Consider the following 19,899-nt stretch of genomic DNA (forward strand, 5'->3'; position numbering starts at 1 on the left):
CTTAAGGAATCCATGACACTCCTGGATTGGGTAAAACAAAGATATGCTCACACAAATAAGCTAATAAGAGAGGCAGCAAAAGAGAACTGGGAAGCCAGAGAAATTCACATGATGAAGATACCTGGCATTTAGCCAAAAGTAAAAACTATAAATATTAATCAGATGAGAATCAGTGTCACTTTACTGCAAGAATGTTCTGTAATTAAAAGAGTGGGTATTGTGTTGTGCATGTTAGCACAATTGCCGCCAATAATATTGGATGCCAGTAGCTCAGGAGTACTGGAAAGAGCATGGATTTCTAAGGATGTCACTTAGCAGAAAGTTTACTAAATATCAACTGTTTATGTCAAATTGAAGTGATACTGCAAAGTAAAGGAAGAAATATCAGGGTTTCAAAATTGTGTTCCTGTCTTTAAAAGACAAGAAAAGAAACCTTCCTTGGACATCTATTATAAGAAAGGCATTTGCTAGTCGCTTTCCAGACATAATGTCTTTGAATCCTTACCTCAGTCCTGCAGAAAAGGTGTCATCATAATCACATTTCAAAGATGCAGCTATTCCAAAGTTGGCTTTGTGATCCAAGATGTGGCTGTGGTTGTGCATGTCTGAAGTGGAGCAGAGGTGACATGTCCTTGAAGTTGATAAAGTCACAAGATTGTGAGACGGCAATGCTTCCTGGATCATCCCTGTGGGCCGATGGGCCTTGGAGTGGATGAAAGGCATGGGAGGGAGATACCAAAGCTCTCATTTGGGTAAATCAGCAGTAAACCTGCTCAGTTGTCAGGCAAAGGAGGTTTGAGCAATTCACTGGGAGTGTCAAAAAAAGGGGGGATAATTGAAGATCAGAGTAGCAATGGTTGGGAGAGGCAAAAGGAGATAAAAGTGTGCCGTTCTCTTTCTTTCCTCTGTTCCTAGACATAGGGGTGAGAGAGGATGAACAGCCTCCACTGCTGAAGGGGGCTAAATGGTAAATACTCCCACTATGGTGGATTTAAAGCTCTCATGATGTTAGTGAGCGCAGAGTTGGGAAAAGATGTGCACAATCAGCTCTGACGATCCAGTGCCAGTTAGCGCCAGCACCCTATTGCCCTTTCCCATGTCATATTTTCCTGTTGCTTCTTCCCACCTGTTCTTGCTCAAAGATAAAGCTGTTAAATTGTCCAGACTGTGTACATTGCGCAACTCTAGTGTTGCCATTTTCATCACAGCCATCATTGACATATATAATTTAATATGACAATTTTCCTTTAGGAAGCCGTGTAGAGCAAAGGAGACCTTTTCCTAATTTACACAAAAGCACCATTTGGGTTGGTTTTCATGCTGCTCAAAGACCACATACTGGAAGTCACAAGCCAAATTCAGCCCACAGACATCTTTTATTTAACTCACATTGGGTTTTAAAAAAGACATTTTTTTAACTAGCTTGCCAACATTTAAAAGTCAGGAAACCAAAATCCAAATTACTAGATTATATTGGAAAAATCAAAGCAAGCTGCGCTACATTGAAAGCAATAACAAAGAAAGTACCTATGCCTAGATCATGGTAGGCGTTCAAAAGATGTCAGGATCCTTCAGCCCACCCTAGCTGTTTTGTACTCACCTTTTTTATCATTATATCCTGGAAGCCACATCACCTGGACCCTATCTTCCTCTGTGGCTCCTCCCTTATCTTCTGTCAGTTTCTAGAACAATCTTTGCACCTCAGGGCTTTGCACTTGCCCAGTCTTCTTCCTGAAACACTCCACCCTCCACCCCCTTGACTGGTCCAACTCCCACTCATCCTTCCATTTCATTTTAGATGTCATCTTCACCATCAGCTTTCAACAAGACTCCCAAATACCTCCAACTCATGCCATGCTCCATGGAGCAGTCAGAGTGATCTTTTTTAAAAAATAAATCAGATCATGGCACAGCATAATTGTAATGAAATGCAAGCTCCTTCAGCTGGCCCTTAAGGAATGGTGTGGTTTGGACACTGTCCCCATCCCTCAGTCACACTGTTTCCCTATTTCCTTTACAAACACACCTCCCGTGTGCCTGCCTTTGCTCTTGCCACTCCCTTTGCAGGAACACTCTTTCCCAGGTTTTCATAGAACCTACACCTTGGTAACATTCTGGTCTCAGCACAAACCAGCTGCACATCCTCAGAGAAGCCTTTCTACCCACCCATGTAAAACAGCAGCCCTGCCCGCTGCCAGCCTCACTTCAATGACTCTCCATCGCATCCCTTGATTATGTATCCCAGATATACCCCAGATCTCCAAATCAGACTTCCTGGTAGTGGGGCCTGCCAATCTTTCCTTTTATTAAGCTACCTCTGGGGATTCTGATATGCAACCAATTTAGGAACCCTCAGTCTGTGGTATAATGGGAAAGGAAAGAATGGTAGGCATGTTGAGGTGTGCTGTGGTTCACGGCGAGTGTTTTGTTCCTCATGAGTTTTGATAGTCCAATATTACAGTGATGTAGGATACTACAAACCCACTGTAATTTTGCAGCAATAAATTACTGTCATTCCCTTGCTTGTTTATAAATGCCACCTGAAACCTCAATCAACAAAATTGTGGAGAATCTGTTAGAAACAGAGCCAAAAATTCCTCCAACTTCTTCGTAGAACAGTTATGATCATACAAGTGAGAAGACTAAGTGAAGAATGGACAGCTAAAGGATTCGACAAATTAATAGGTTGAAGGAATACAGACATAGTTTTTTAAGCCAGGAAACTGTGGGTGCTTACAAATCTTTGGGAAAATACTCACTGTCACCAAGAATTTTAAGATTAAAATATTTGGTGAACTGGGAGGTACCAGGTCAGGAGGGCCCAGGGGCCAGGGCCATGGCTGGGAGCGGCTCCATTCTGGCGCCCCAGCTCCTCCAGGTCACAGTCCTCGTTCCGCCCCCTCGCCCACTGCTTGCATGACCCTGAGAGGCATCTCTGTAGGGCTACTGAGCCCACAGACCCAGCCTGCGTGTTCTGCACACGTGGGTCTCAAGACTAAGAAAGATGGGAGGACACAGAGCTGACCAGCCAAGTATAAGGACCCTGGTCACGCTGTGCATCTGCAGCCCCTGCCCAACTGTCTGCCTGCCCCGGATGGATTCTGTCCCAGAATCCAAGGGCTGCCTGAACAGGATGACAGGGTCATGCCCAGGGTCAGAGGCACTGAGGCACCTGGCATCCCGAGTGTAACTGGCAGGACCTGCTGGTGCTGCAGGAGCAGACGAGGGCAGATGAGATCCTCATCAGGAACACCTTCCACACTTACCACCAGCAGTGACTCATGCCTGGCATTCTGCTGGCCAATTGCACTGAAGTTTTTCATGGGGAGGAGCATATTGCAGCTGTGGGAGCTGGGTGTACTAGGCCCCACCATCAAAGGATATGGCTGTATTGGGGTCTCATGTGTGGCCTATGCACTTCTGGTCTAAAAGCTGGAGTGGGTGGACAGTGGCTACAGGTTGGCAATGAGTGTCTAGTCCTCCTCTAGTCATGCGCCCTATCTACACCTACATCAGTGAGGAGCAGTGGCAGAAGTATTAGGTTGGTGCAAAAGTAATTGTGCTTTTTGCCATTACTTCTAATGACAAAAACTGCAATTATGTTTGCAGCAACCTATACCTGCCCCCTGCTGGCCAAGGGGGCGCTCCTGCGCTACTTCAGGCTCATAGAGCCCAACTGCAGGAGTGACCCCGGCAGCATGGAGATCAGAACCTGCCATAACCCCTGGAATAAGAGCTGCACCCTCAATGGGACCACCCTGATCCAACGGGACCTGAATCACCACCAGGATCCAGTGAGACCTAGGTCACCACCTCACCTGTGGCCAACCTGTTTGTAGCGTGGGCTGGAAGATGGCTACCTTCAGGGCTTCCTGTCGGAGAAGGGTATGTTGGGTCTCTTGGCCTCCAAGATTGAGGGCAAGTTCTCCCTGCGGGCCTCTGCCATGGGCATGATCATCGTGGACAGCGTGGAGGTGGAGGACGTGCTGCTCAGTGCAGGCAGCCTGGAGGGTCCCTTTGGCTGCCTGAACAACGCCAGATCTGGTATCATGTGGGGAGTGCTTGGAGCTGCCGAGTTTTGTCTGCTCGTGGCCAGGCAGTACACCCCACACAGGATCCAGTTTGGCATCCTGTTGGTCAGGCACCAGCTGATTCAGAAGTTGGAGGACATGCTCACTGAGGTCACGCTGGGCCTTCATGCCTGTCTGCAGCACAGCCACTTGAAGAATCAGGGCAAGGCAGCCCCCGGACAGGTCTCTCTGCTAAAGACGAATAACTATGAAAAAAGCCTGGACATTGCCTGCCAGGCCTGAGACATGCTGGGGGGTACTGGGGTTTCTGATGACTATCATATGGTCCGGAACATCAGGAACTCAGAGGCCATGAAAACCTCTGAGGGTACACATGACATGCGCACCCTGATCCTGGAAAGACCTGTCACGGGAATCCACAAATTCACGGCTGGCAAGTGAGCCCATCCAGCCAGTGGCCCAAAGCTCTCAAACCCCTTCCCAGAGACAGGCCTGGCTGGACCATGGGAATGCTGTGTTCTGAGCTTAGGAAGGAAGCTAGCGGATGGAGTGGGAAGTGAGAGACACTGATTTTTAAATATCAGAATTTCCCTTCTGAAGTTGTTCAGATGTGTTCCTTAAAAAGAAGATGGAATTCTCTGTAGAGTTTCTCAGTCCACTTTTAACAATGGATGAGAACAGACTCCATTTACCTTGAAATAGAAACATCTATTGAGAGAAGGAGTGTGACATTGAAGCAACTTCCTGGAGACCCCCTTGGTCTCTGCCTGAGCAGACTCCCCTCACATCAAGGGTTCACAGTGCACCCTCCGACCCTTCCATCCGGGGTTAGTGCCTTATGCTGGACATTGGAGCAGAATAAGGGAGAGGAAAATAAGAAGGCTGCACGTCTGACCCCATAGTGTTGGGTTACATTGACTGGTAACCACCTGAGAAGTAGTTTCAGTCACAGGAGAAATGAACACGTCTGGGTGCTCTGAGTCATGGGAACGTGGTAGGGACGGCATTTACTGGTAACCACCTGAGAAGTAGTTTCAGCCACAGGAGAAATGAACACATCTGAATGCTGTGAGTCACTGGGACATGGTGGTCTAGCCCATGTCTGAGTCTTAGGCTCTGCTGTAATAAATAAACCCAAGTTAGCACTGCCCAGGCCCCTGGGGGGCATATACCAGGGATGCAGGGCTCAAGGCTGTAGATGGAGAGGACAGTTTCTGACCAGCAGGGGTGCAGGGGATTTTGTTCTTTCTGTCACCACACAGCTGATCACGTGATGGTGGGAAATGACAGTGGTCTGGCTTCTCCGCTTGGACACACCATGTTACAGGGGGTCACAAATGAGATGGCAAAAGCACCACGGGCCTTGTGGGGACTGTGGCCTTGTGAGGTCAGGGCTGGCTGCCTGGTTTCTGTTCACATTTACTATCAGCTGGGCCATCCCTGCTTCCTCAGGCAGAGCCCCCCATTGAGTTTGCTCAGGCGGGATACCTCAGACCGGATGCACAGGTCTTTGTACACAGTCTCCTTCTGTGGCCATCTTGGTTAAGCTCTGTTTCCAAATGGCTGATCTTTGCCACTTTCTGAGTGAACCCCTGGAGCTTTTCCTAGATGATCTTGATGTTATCATTATAAAGCTGATAGATCCTCTCCTCTAACTGCTCTGTCAGATCCAAAACTTTTCAAAGAATAAGACACATTCTTGGAAAATCAGACAAGATGTATCACCAGCCATTTATTCTAAGTGGATCTCAAATTTCTGCAATTTATCTTATATAATGCTAAAACAAACAACCCCCCCACGCCATCCCACCACCCCCCCACACACACAAAACAAAACAAAAAAAAAACCAGTGCAGTCACTGCGGAGCTAAATTTTTTAAGAGGTGAAAACATATAAAGTCAGTTGCCACATAGTGATGTTTTGGTCAATATCGGGTTGTATATGCAATGATGGTCCTGTAAGATTATAATATCTTATCATAATTTTACTGTACGTTTTCTTTGTTTAGATATGTTTGAATACACAAATACTTACCATGGTGTTACAATTGCCTATAGTATTCAGTATAGTAACATGTTGTGCAGGTTTGTAGCCTAGGAGCAATAGGCTATACCATCTAGGTTTGTGTAAGTACAATCTATGATGTTCAGACAATGATAAAGTTGCTTAACTTCGCATTTCTCAGTAATGTTCCAATTGTAAAGTGATGCATGATTTTATACAGTATAAATTCAACTAGGTTAGAAAGAAAGTACATAAAACAGGGGCTAGAAGAGGCATGCAACAAAGTGGTCTCTGGGTGATGTATCAAATACATGTTTATATATATATTTATATATTATATATATATATATTTATATATTATATATATATATTTATATATTATATATTAAATATATATTTATATATTATATATATATTTATATATTATATATATATTATATTTATATATAATATATTTATATATTATATATAAAATATATATATTATATAAATATAATATATATATTATATATAAATATATATTTATATATAATATATATATTTATATAAAATATATATATTTAATATAAATATATATTTATATATAATATATATTATATATATAATATAAATATATATTTATATATAATATATATTATATATATAATATAAATATATATATATAATATATATTTATATTATATATAATATATATATATTTATATTATATATATAATATATAAATATAAATATATATATATTATATATAATATATAAATATATAATATATATATTATATATATTTTTTTTTAACTGCGTTATGCATTTCTCTACTTTCTAAATTTTCTATGCTGTACCAGGGTATGTACCAATAGGGATTGGGCAGGGGGGCATAAAAGTGGAAAATAGGTTGGGCACAGTGGGCCACCCCTGTAATCTTAGCACTCTGGGAGGCCAAGGCAGGAGGATGGCTTGAGGCTAGGATTTCAAGACCAGCCCGGGTAACATAGTGATACCCCATCTTCAAAAAAAAAAAAAATTGTTTTTTATTTGTGGGGTGTGGCGGCACACACCTGTAGTTCCAAGCTACTTAGGAGGCTGAGGTGGGAGCATCTCTTGAGCCCAGGAGTTTGAGGCTGCAGTGAGCTATAATTGCACTACTGCACCTAGCCTAGGGAACACAGTAAGACCTTGTCTCCAAAAAACTGGTGGGGTGGGGGCGGGTAATAAAGTCAACCTTTCATCGACACACGTGGAATTAGCAAGCTGTTCCATTCATGAGATCCATTATATTTGAAGAGGCATCAGGCATAACCATTAATTTAGGACCTGAACATAGCATCAGGCATTGCAAGACATAAGCTCCTGGCATGTTGAAGAACCCCAGCTCTCCCATCAGAGAATATTTGATGACTTCTGGAGGACGTGGATGTGACAATGCAAGCTGTGCCTCAACCCCGACTACCGTAGCTATTCATCCCTGTGTGAAGTGAGAGGGCTGGGCATTGGATGCAGGGGAATCTGGGCCCTCAGCCTGGCTCTCTAACTTGGGCAAATCATTCATTTCCAAATGTTATCCATACAATGAGTCCAATATCTTATTTTCAGGATTATTGTAAGGGTGAATTAAGATACAGGTGGTCCCCAACTTACTATGATTTGATGTATAATTTTTCAACTTTATAATGAGTTTACTGGGGTATAAAGTACATTTTCAACTTATGAAACAAAAAAGGTTAAAACATTTAAAGGTTGTGAAAGTGTGAAAACAAGAAAAAGAATAGAAGGTGGCCATACGATCAGCAAAATTTAATAAATTGTGTGAGTGGAAGGATTATTTTCCTGCCAAACAAACATGAGATCCATAGAGAAATTATTTCCCAGGAGCTTTATAAGATTTTGAGTTTGTCTTAGCAACATTTAAGTCATTGGAGGTATCATTTTCATGGTATGCTTCCAAATTTAACATTTAAATAGGAAAAAAAAGTCCCAAGCCAAATTTGAATACCCATAACCAATAACTAGAAATGCAATTCAGTCAATATATGACTGACGGTGTTGTAATTGTTCATACTATGGCTAAGAAGAAATGTTACCCCTCTCTGAAATGTCCCCATTTCCCCATCTAGATGTAATCTATCCTAGCACCATTTATTTATTTATTATTTGTTATTTATTTATTTGCTGGAAATTACAGTTACTTATAAATATGTGTGTCCTACTCTACAAGTTCCTTTGTGCAACATAGTATAGGATGGCCAATAACCTAAGCAAAGGAGACAGAAACACTTGGTTTCAAGTCCTGGCTCAGCCACTTGCCAACTGTGACCTTGTGCAAATTATTTGATCTTTCTAAATGTCAATTTCCTCATCTGTAAAAAGGTGGCAATCATGTAAGAACTAATAATGATAGCTAATATTTATAAATGCTTATAAGCCAGGTAGGTACTAAGTATTTGAAGTACTTTATATGTAAAAAATTTGCTAACTCTCGCAAGAACTCTTTGAGGTAGCTATTATTTTCTCTCTTTTATACAAGAGGCAAACTGAGGCATAAGGATGTTAAGTACCTTGCTCAAGGTGTGCAGCTAATAGGTGACGGAGGTGGTGTTCAAACCCAGTCCACCTGATGCCAAAATGAAATAATGCTTGTAAAGTGTTCAGTATAGCAGCTTTATGAGTAGTCATCTTTTCACACCAGGGTTTCCTCATACCCCTACTCATTTGTGCCATTCAGCAGGTATTGAACCTAACCTTATGCTTCAATGATGCAATATTTGTTACTGAAGAATCAGGAAAAAATACAAGAATGTCTCCCTCCTTCTGCATTCATCACTACCCAATTGAGAGCCTCAAGGAAGAATCATTTTCTGGAAGTCCTCAAAACCTGCCATTTTCAAAGGAAAAAATAAATCTCAGCCCCTGAGCCAAGCGTAAGCACCTACAGACAGCCTCGGAAATGCAATTTAAACAACATCCAAAAAAAGCTTCCTCGGGTAAAATACAGATGATACTGCCAAAGGAAAGAAAATGGTAAATTGAAGCAAGTTTTTAAGCTTAAATTAATTTAACATCGATTCCAAGGAGAGCAGGTACTAGATACTGCACATGGTTATGCTGACCTTAGACCAACTCTCATTTTATTCTGAATTCCCGTTTTGAGCACTGCAAACTAACTAGCTTTCAGAGGTCACTCCTGCATGGCTATTTGTATATCTTCTGGCCAAAACACATGGAAATTGTTATTACATGCATGGGAAGTAAAGAGAAAATCTGCTTAACATCACAAATGATCAGGGAAATGCAAATCAAAACCACAATGTGATGCAACTTTACTCCTGCAAGAATGGCCATAATCAAAAAAATCAAAAAATAATAGATGTTGGCAGGGATGCGGTGAAAAGGGAACACTTCTACACTGCTGGTGGGAATGTAACTAGTACAACTGCTGTAGAAAACAGTGTGGAGATTCCTTAAAGAACGAAAAGTAAAAGCACCATTTGATCCAGCAATCCCACTACTGGGTATCTACCCAGAGGAAAAGAAGTCATCACATAGAAAAGATATTTGCACGTGCAGGTTTATAGCAGCACAATTTGCAATTGCAAAAATGTGGAGCCAGCCCAAATGTCCATTAATCAATGAGTGGATAAAGAAATTGTGGTGCGTATATATACATTGGAATACTACTCAGCCATAAAAAGGAACAAATTAATGGTGTTTACAGCAACCTGGATGGAACTGGAGACTATTATTCTAAGTGAAGTAACTCAGGAATAGAAAACCAAACATCAAACATTCTCACTCATAGTTGGGAGCTAAGCTATGATAGGATACAAAGGCATAAGAATGATACAATGGACTTTGGGGATTTGGGGGTAAGTGTGGGAAGGAGTGAGGGATAAAAGACTACAAATTGGGTTCAGTGTATACTGCTTGGGTGATGGGCACACCAAAATCTCACAAATCACCACTAAAGAACTTACTCATGTAACCAAATACAACCTGTTCCCCAAAAACCTATAGAAATAAAAAATTATAAAACAAAAGTAAAAAAAATAAAGAAGATGAAAAAAGTTTCTAAATCCTCTTTCAGACTTGGACTTTTAGACATTCTGAAACCAGGGAATTCTGCCACGGAGATATAAGTTCTTTAAATTCCCTAAAACAATCATTTCATTTTGAACTCAGTGATAAAATTACAGAATCACATTATCACACTGGGCTCTTTTCCTTTGTGCTGTGGGTTAGAGAGAGGCCAGATCATAGATATTTGAGAATATGAAACTTCAATGGGAAATCGATGATCTTATATCTTACCCCTTCTTTAATGGCTGCAATTTTGTTCTTCACCCATCCTTAATCCCAGCTGCACAGGCTACAATCCTCTTTTTAATCCTGACCATGCACATCAGGTCCAGCCCCATCATCTACTAAGAGACTGCACTTTGACAAGTGTTCCCAAACTAGTCAGTGGGAGACATTGTGTGGCCATATTGGCAAGTTGTGGGAGGCTCCCATTCCAGCCTCTTCTCATGAAGCCAGTGGACAGGGTTGACCATTCTAACTCTCAAGAGGTATGCAGGTGAGGTTCTGACTTTTTAAAACCTCCAAGAAAAAATGGAGGAGAAGATGGGATGCTTTGGAGAAAAGGAGAGAATTTCACTTACCCAAGATGCTGGTCTTTCCAAACTCACCAAGTTGTATACATTACATACACACAGCTTTATGTATGTAATAATACATCAATAAAGTGATTAAAAAATGCTAGTCTTATGATTTTATATTGGATTCCAGTGGTATTTGGAAAGTCCAAATAAAAGAGAACAAAAACAAATCATATATTTTTTATATATTTGATAAAATTGTTTATATTTAATATAACTTATATAGTATACATTTATATAATTTATAATATAATTACAGCATAAAATACATGTTATATATAATGCATGCATATGTATACCATGTGTCTATTCATATGAAATTGAGGTATAAAAAATGTTCTTGTACTATAAAAACACTCTAATCTTCTCTTGGGGTATAAGGTATTCCAAAGTGGCCTATTCCACTGCTCAACTCCCCTTTTACCGCTCTTCCTCCTAACCTCTAACTCTGTGTTCTCTAGAAGCATAGATAAATGCATCCAATTACTCAAAAGAGCCTCTGGCTTGTTAGTGCATCTTGAAAAAATAAAGTAGAAGCAGGCCCAGGTGGAGACACACTCACTCACCTCCAAGTTGACTAATAATAGCACATCCCTGATACAATAGTGATTTGATACCTCTTCAAACTGCTATTCTTTAAATATTTAAAATTTTCACACTTACTTAAATTTATATGAAATCCCTAAATATATAAACGTAATTTTGACTTTTTTCTTTTTGGAAGTGTTAGGCATGGTAAGAAAAGGACACAATCAGGGCAGCCCTATCTTCACTCCTATGTATTGGAGAGCTACACTTTAATTGACTAAAACAGAAGCCCTGAAGGTAATCTAATCCACTCTCCCTAGAAGGCAGTTGGGGAAATAAGAAAGCTAATATTTGAGGTTGCTCCTTGGGAGTCTTGGTCCTTTCCTAAATAGAGTAGGCATATTTTTATTCCTATCACTGTCCTACTCTCCTGAGAAGTCCCGGTAAATTAAATTCTCACCTTCTCATTACATTTCCAGTGATATCTTGGTTCCCTTTAAGGAAATATAGAAAATGGTCTATGTGCACAGAAAGACAACTATTGCATGTTCTCACTCATATGTGGGAGCTAAAAAATCATTAATTCCATGGAGGTGGACAGTAGAATGATAGTTACCAGAGGCTGTGAAGGGTGTGTGGGTGGGTGGGGTGTTGAAATAAAGGCAGATTGGTTAATGGGTACAAACATACAGTTAGACAGAAGGAATAAGTTCTCTTGTTGGAAAGCAGAGGAGGATGACTATTGTTAGTTACAATGTATTGTGTATTTCAAAATAGCTAGAAGAGAGGATTGAAATGTTTCTGACACATAGAAATGATATCTACTCAATGTGATAGATACCCTAAGTAGCCTGATTAATCATTCACATTCTATGCATGTAATAAGATATCACATATACCTCATAAAATGGGCAGAAATTGTATATCAATTTTTTCTCAAGAAAAAGAACATGACCCATATGGTGTGCCCTTCAATGAGACTTTGAGAACTCGTAAGGATTGCTGTTGTGGTGGTTAGGGGAGAAGTTGATCCTTAAGAAGAGAGTAGGCTGGCTGCAGTGGCTCATGCCTGTAATCCCAGCACTTTGGGAAGCCAAGGCGGGTGGATCACGAGGTCAGGAGATTGAGACCATCCTGGCCAACATGGTGAAACCCCGTCTCTACTAAAAATACAAAAATTAGCCAGGCGTGGTGGTGGGTGCCTGTAATCCCAGCTACCCTGGAGGCTGAGGCAGGAGAATCACTGGAACCCGGGAGGCAGAGGCTGCAGTGAGCTGAGATTGCGCCATTGCACTCCAGCCTGGGCGACAGAGTGAGACTCCATATCAAAAAAAAAAAAAAAAGTAGATAGTAGACACCCACTCCTCTGCCAGCCCAGCATTCCACTGCTCCTCCTTCAGGTAAAAAGCTTGCTGATATTCCCTTGGAGAAATGCTCCCCATCCAGGTCAGTTCCTGTGGCTCCAATGAGGCAGGTGTTCCGGAGCTGGCACTGTAAATGGTTCAGAGAAGGACCTGTGACCCCGGCCAGGCAAGGAGAGTCAGAATGTTTGCAGGAACCCTAGGGAAAAAGAACTCTCTTTCTGTAGGATTTGCTGGTAGAAGGAGAACCTATAGCTCTATTTGGCCATTTTTGCCATAATATGGAAAGAGAATGGAACCACAGGAAAGGAAGCAGAGCTAAGAAAAAAAGAAAAACATTCTTAAGAATATGACTTCACAGCTAGTCCAGCCATGTCTAAAGCCAGATAGATCACTGGATTTTAGTTATGTGAACAAATACTCCCCTCTTTGCTTAAGCCTGTCTGAGTTGGATTTTCTGTCTCTTGCAAATGAAAAAGTCCTGATTAATACAACCAAACTTTATGATCAGCCTTCCCCTCAACCAAAAAAAGAAAAAGCTTTCACTCTCAGATTAGAAAATGGGGTCTTTCTCTGAGTATAAGTTATAATCCAACTCTGGACCTGCAGGACTCTAACTGGGGAAAAAAAGTTAAGACTGAGAATCAGGCCCCACTTGAACTAGATTTATTTAACAGAAAAAGCATTCAATCCTTCAACAAGTGTTTATTGAACAACAAATACATGCTGGACAAATGAATGTGCCAGGCACTAGGACACAGCCATTAATAAGAGCCAGTGTCTGCCTTCTGGTGCATGCATTTCAGTGAGGAAAACTAAAAAAAAAAACAAGTATATGCTATGCTTTGTGATAACAAGTGTTTTGGAGAAAAATAAAAAGGATAAAGGGAATAGAGAGAAAGGATGGTGTATTAATCCATTCTCATGTTGTGAATAAAGACAAAACCGAGACTAGGTAATTTATAAAGGAAAGAGGTTTAACTGACTCATAGTTCAGCTTAGCTGGGGAGGCCTCAGGATACTTAACAATCACGGCAGAAAAGCAAGTAAATATGTCCTTCTTCACATGGCTGCAGGAAGGAGAAGAATGAGAGCCCAGTGAAGGGGGAAGCCCCTTATAAAACCATCAGATCTCATGAGAACTCACTCACTATCACAAGAACAGGATGGGGGAAACCGCCCTTATGATTTAATTATCTCTACCTGGTCCTTCCCACAACATGTGGGGATTATGGGAACTACAATTCAAGATGAGATTTGGATGGGACACAGCCAAACCATATCAGATGGGTTGACAGGGGAGACCTCTCTGAAAAGGCAGCATTTGAGCAGGAACTGGAAGAAACTGCAAGATGGATGCAACTCTCTAAGGGAACCGTCTTCCTGGAAGACGGGAAGAGCTAATGCAAAAGCTCCAGGGTACAAGTGTGCAGGGCAGGGCCTAGGAACACCAAGACTAATGTGACTGGGGCCCCATGGGGAAGGAGTATGGGAGACAAAGTCAGATGCTTCAGGGCCTTGTAGACATCATAAGAACGTTGGCTTTTACTCTGAGTAAAGTGGCACCACTGGAGGCTTTTGAACAGAGAAAATATATGATCTGACTTTTTAAAAGAGCACTATAGCTGTTGCACAGAAAACAGTTCACTGGGTATTGTCTGGGGGCAAGAACCAAAGCTGAGAGATGTTGCCCTCAGACAATTCTATACAAGATAAATAGTATAAAACCCCTAAATCCAAATTGGCAATTAGAAGTCTGCCATATGAATTAAAATGAACAACAGAATTCCCAAATATACCTATAGAGGAGTTCAAGACGATAGCACACAAATAATTATTAGTTTAGTCCCTCATAGTGGTTCTCAATTCTCAGAGACCATTTTGCCCCCTACCCTTACCCTGAGATAATTGGCAATGTCAAGGGAACTTTGTGGTTGTCATGACTGGTATGGGGTGGGAAGTGGGGAGAGTAACACTGGCATCTAATGGGTGGAGGCCAGGGACACTGCTAAACATCCTGTAATGTACAAGACACCCCACACAACAAAGAATTATCCAGCTCCAACTATCAATAGTGTTGAGGTTGAAAACCCCTATATTAATGTAAATATTCATTGTTCTCAGATTTCATTATTCTTAAACTTGCAATAAATATAAAATCAGAGAAGCACAAACTGAGTTGAATTGTCTTCCTTTTTGGCTAATCATTTAAAAGGCAAAAAATATTGTTGCTGTTTTACATTTAAGAACAACTTCTTGAGGTAAAAAAATGCATAGTGACCTGTGCTCTTAAATCAAAGCAGGAGATCCTTAGGGAAAAAGTGACATAAGAATGTTTCTGAGTTTGCAACAGGAAGACTTCAAAATTGTTTTAATATGAAAATGTCATTTCAGGAAAACAAAAGCACCTGGCACAGATTTGCTTTGGGGAGGAAAATTCCTTTGAAAACCCAACTAGTTGTATAATTAAGTGATAATGAATGCAGAGCTGTACTTTGTATTCCATTCCAGCACATTGGAGTTGAATCTAGGCTTGAAAAGCTAAATCCCTCAGTGCTCTGGCCTCTCATCAGTGAAGTGCAAATCAAGGCCTTTAACTGCTATAGAAGGGGTGGTTCCAAAAAAATGAACTACAAATATTATGTTTTCAAACTGTCTACTTTCAAATGTATGCTGAGTTGTATGTGCAAGACTGCATTAAATAAAAAGAAATGTTTCACTGGAACAAGAAAGCAAGCTATCATATGTAATATTTTACATGATGGTTTATACATAATAGAATAATCTATTTTTTAAAAGAAAGAAGGGCTATTAATGTCCATTTTATAAGGCAAATAGGATTCTTAATCACTGGTGATTTCACTTAGAGAAAGACTAAATAATATATTTGTACTCTAGCTAATGTCATGTGTAAGAAAGATGAATGAGAGTAGATGCACGTGCTGGATTGAGTTTTTTGCTTGGTTATAGAGATATGATGCAGTATAGATAGTACTTGGAAGTTTGGTTTAACAAAAATTGGATATACTTCTTTAAAATTACTGCAACAAAATCATGATGGGGATCTGTAAACATGAGAAGTTAATAACTTGATGTGCCATTTAATATTTACCATCATAACTAAAGGACATAATATAATCAGCCTGTGGCTAGCCAATCATTCAAAGAAGCCACTATCACTTGTAGTTTTTATCTTAATTTAAAATGAACAAACAGAAAGAGACAATTTTCATTTTGTTTCTATAAAAATTAGTATTTTCCCAAAAGGAGATTAAAACAAAGATTCCATATACAAATAACTTAGGAGTAAACCTGATGGAAAGCAACATAGACCATATGATACATATTCAAGTTCAAATAGCATTTTATAAACATTATATTAGTCTGTTCTCACACTGCTATAAAGAAATGCCCAAGACCTGGTAATTTATAAAGAAAAGAGGTTTAATTGACTCACAGTTCCACATGGCTGGAGAGGCCTCTGGAAACTTACAATCATGGTTGAAGGGGAAGCAGGCATGTCTTACATGGTGGCAGAAGAGAGAAGAGCAGGGGAAACTACCACTTATAAAACCATCAGATTTCATGAGAGCTCACTCACTATCATGAGAACAGCACAGAGGAAACAGCCCCAATGACCCAGTCACTTTCTACCAGGTCCCTCCCTTAACACATGTGGATTACAATTTGAGATGAGATTTGGGTGGGGACACAGAGCCAAACCATATCAAACATGCTTAAATGTCTGAAGAAAAACAGGACTTTATAATAGGAAGGTAAACAAATGACAAAAGCAATAAGAAAACATAGTTATTGGTATCACACAAATAGTCTTCTACCTGATATAATAGAGAGCACGGGTTCTTGCATAGTTTTGAACATAGGAACAGACCATAGAGCAACAAAATCCTGGAAAGAAACCACCTGCCTGAGAGCTATTAAAGGGACTACCAAGAAAGACCAGGACATGAATCAAACAAGGCTGCTTAAACTAGGCTGTGCATTAAAACTATTCTCTGCACTGTGGTAACATGTCAACATAAGGAAGAACTTTGGCAAAAAATCAGGTTGGTGACATAATAAGACCAATGGGATGGAGCAGCTGGATAGGATAAAACACAGGGAAAGAGGTGTTTTTTGTGTATTGGTTTTTGGTTTTTGGTTTTTTTGTAAACACATATACATCCAAGCCTGTATACTTGAGAACTTACTGGGTAAGGCAGACAAGTTGCTTTTTCTACTGACGCTAGTCAAACGAGTTTAGGAATTAATCAGAATTACATATCCACATTGTCCCTTCCATCTGTGAGTCAACATCCCTGCAGAAACCGCACCATGAATTGAGAAGCATACAGTCTGCAGCCTGGATGACTTACCCATGAGATTTGGGTAGAATAAATAGTAAAGGCCTTTGAAATGCCTTTGCTGATGCCAAACATGAAATGTTGTCAGTCCACCTGAAGTTCAAAGAGTGGCAGGAGCCACCTGATGGATTACACAAATTACATTAGACCTTTTTAGGTAAGTGGTTGGAGAGTTAGATGAACCAACACTTCTTTTCTGATTTTTTTTTATTAAAAGACACCACAGTGGTACAAGAGAGGATGGCCTTTGGGAAGTGTATTGCCTTGAGCTATGCTTTGAATTATTTTTTTTCAATGAGAATGTCTTTTTTCTCAAACTGGATTGTATGTTGCTTATGTTTCTCTGTTATCAACCTCCCATCTCCAGCATTTAGCTTTCCTTGATGGCTTTTAGCAAGGCGCTGCTCAGAGAAAAGAATAAAACTATAAAGAGTCACAGAGGACATTTTTAAGATTTGAAAGAAAACCCACAGAAAATAAAAAATTTTAATTTTTTTATTTTCTTTTTTCTAAAGGAGTGTGTAAATTGCTGGCATGTTTATGGATTATAACTCCATTTTTGTGGTTGTTTTTAACATCATGAATCAGAAAGTGAAAAAATATGAGCAATATTCAAAAAGCAGTAGGAATATCTTAATGCCACTGAAGGCCCAGCAGAAATTAAAACTCGTTTATCAGAATATAAGAGTTACAGAAATTGTAAATCATGAGAAGATACACAGATGTTACTTTGAACTTCAAGCCATCAATTGGCTCACAGGCCTGCCACAGTCTACTGATGTATGGTCAGAGTTCTTGGTTGCAAATAACAGAATATATTTTGGCTAGTTTAAGCAGAATAGGAATGTATTAAAAGAAGCCAGGTAGCTCATGGAATCTGAGGGCCAAGGAGCCAGAAACTGAAGCCATTTAGCCAGGAAACCAAGCCATCCCATTGGATTCTCTAGTGAAATGTCACTACCACCACCATTCAGCATCAATCCTCCTTGGGACTAGACGCCAGAAACTCTTCTGCCAATGCCCCAGATGAAGTGGACACCATTGCCCCCGCCATGCCCAGAAGACTGACTCTCCCTTAAGTAGGGCAAACTCCCACATGTGACGACATTTTTATCCTCTGAATCAAGTCTTATATGGGTGGTCCCAACTGGCAGAACCTAAGCCACACACCTGCATCCCAGGTACAAGGGAGTCCAGAGATGTGTTTTTGCCCTGAATATGTCCTTGAAAAGGACATATAAAGTTAGAAACTTTCACACTGTATAGAGAAATGTTCAAACATAGCAGGCAGCCACAAATGACAAAAACCCTCTATGAATTCCAATCTATCTTTTTTAATCCGTATTTCTTCTGTCCAAACCTTCCCTTCCAGGCATCCTGATCTCTTTATTATTTCTTTTACATCCTACTTCCCATCTTTACAATATGAGGTTTATTTAAATAACGTACTCAAGATCACACAACTACTAAGAAATAAAAATCTGGATCTGAACCTAAATCCCTTCTGAAATCCAGATTCTGCATTTAGTTGATATGGTGAGGCTTTGTGTCCCAGCCAAATCTCACCTTGAATTGTAATCCCCGTAACCCCCCATGTCAAGGGAGAGACCAGGTGGAGGTGATTGAATCATGGGGGTGTTTTCCCTCATGCTGTTCTCATGATAGTGAGTGAGTTCTTATGAGATCTGATGGTTTCATAAGGAGTTCTTCCCCTTTTGCTTGGCACTTCTCCTTTCTGCCACCTTGTAAAGAAGGTGCCTTGCTTTCTCTTCATCTTCTGCCATGATTGCAAGTTTCCTGAGGTCTTGCCAGCCATGCAGAACTGTGAATCAATTAAACCATTTACCTTTATAAATCACCCAATCTCGAGCAGTTCTTTATAGCAGTATGAAAATGGAAGAATATATTAGTCATGTGTTGAGAGTTGATTTAAAGTCTACACTTCATACTATGTCCCAAAGCACCAAGTTCACCTTACTAGATACTTAGTACCATGTACTAAGCAGACAGTAATTTAATTCATCTCAATAGATATGTTTTTACTGCCTGGAATGGAATCTTGGTTCAGCACCTAGAAATTATATAATATTGGACAAATTACTTAACCCTCTAGGTCTATTTCCTCATCCACAGAATAGAATGGTGTACTTCTCATCTAGTTAATGTGATGACATTTTTGGAAAGGGGGCACAAACCTGGACTACAATAAGCAAACAATAAATATCAGGCCCATACAGAAAAAAACATAAGAACATGGCCTTGTGCTTTAATGGAGAAAGAGGCTGCCTATCCATGTCATTTTCATGGTCCTAGGAAGCCCCTCACCCCTCCATCTACCCCTCCAACCCATTTCCAGACACAAATTCCTCCCAGCCACCCACATACATCTCCCCACAGATGACTGGAGTCAGGAAATTCCAGAAACCAGCCATGAGGAATGAGGCTGAAAAGGTCATGGATCTGAATAACCCATGTTGAGATGGAAGTGGTGGTTGTGAGGGCTCATCCTGAGAGCAAGTTTACAGAAAGAGGAGGGAAGAAGACAAAGGACATTGGACTCTGATGATGGAACGAGATGGGCACCACAGGGAGATGTCTGGATGCAAACAGGGATGAGGCAAATGCTGGAGCGGCCACAGGCATTCCTCAAAGTGACAAAGAAGTCCCACTTGACTAACGTGGAGGGTGAGCAGTGAATATGAATGATCCACAAGACTCAGAATAGGTGGTCATAGAAGAGGGAAAGCCATGATGTATGGTGTGCCTGTACCCCTTATAAGGGAACAAACTACCCACAACTCCTGGGCACATGTAGTCCCAGGCGAGGACATTAGGAGAGAGTGGTGATGGGGCAATTTCATTCTATTGGGACCCCAGGGGCAGAGTGTTGAGATCATCAGCCTGGCCTGTGAAATACCTCCTGTGTGTTCCCTCTGTTTACCTAAATGTAACCTTATAATATAC

General features: G+C 40.6%; 1 protein-coding gene and 1 pseudogene across 11 annotated transcripts in view, besides 3 other annotated features; one reads left to right on the forward strand and one right to left on the reverse strand.

Annotated features, from left to right (window-relative positions):
• Positions 1 to 19,899, reverse strand: part of C12orf42 (chromosome 12 open reading frame 42) — a 516,167-nt gene that overhangs the window by 452,841 nt on the left and 43,427 nt on the right. The window contains exon 1 of one of the 11 annotated variants that reach the window (NM_001386867.1): positions 506 to 1,041. The exons of the other annotated variants lie outside the window; for them this stretch is intronic. The gene's annotated coding sequence lies outside the window, so the exon portion shown is untranslated. Of the gene's footprint in view, positions 1 to 505; positions 1,042 to 19,899 lie in introns of those variants that run through there. 11 annotated transcript variants of the gene reach the window in all.
• LOC644203 (glutaryl-CoA dehydrogenase, mitochondrial-like) lies at positions 3,232 to 4,469 on the forward strand (annotated as a pseudogene).
• Positions 4,696 to 4,785: an enhancer, noted in NCBI's record as "active region_6893". NCBI's record gives its function as "activates an Ori minimal core promoter by ATAC-STARR-seq in GM12878 lymphoblastoid cells {active_cell/tissue: GM12878}" and the evidence as "EXISTENCE:reporter gene assay evidence [ECO:0000049][PMID:35858748]".
• Positions 4,866 to 5,125: an enhancer, noted in NCBI's record as "active region_6894". NCBI's record gives its function as "activates an Ori minimal core promoter by ATAC-STARR-seq in GM12878 lymphoblastoid cells {active_cell/tissue: GM12878}" and the evidence as "EXISTENCE:reporter gene assay evidence [ECO:0000049][PMID:35858748]".
• Positions 5,586 to 5,635: an enhancer, noted in NCBI's record as "active region_6895". NCBI's record gives its function as "activates an Ori minimal core promoter by ATAC-STARR-seq in GM12878 lymphoblastoid cells {active_cell/tissue: GM12878}" and the evidence as "EXISTENCE:reporter gene assay evidence [ECO:0000049][PMID:35858748]".

This window comes from Homo sapiens, chromosome 12 (assembly GCF_000001405.40).
Source record: "Homo sapiens chromosome 12, GRCh38.p14 Primary Assembly".
Classification (NCBI taxonomy): Eukaryota; Metazoa; Chordata; class Mammalia; order Primates; family Hominidae; genus Homo; species Homo sapiens.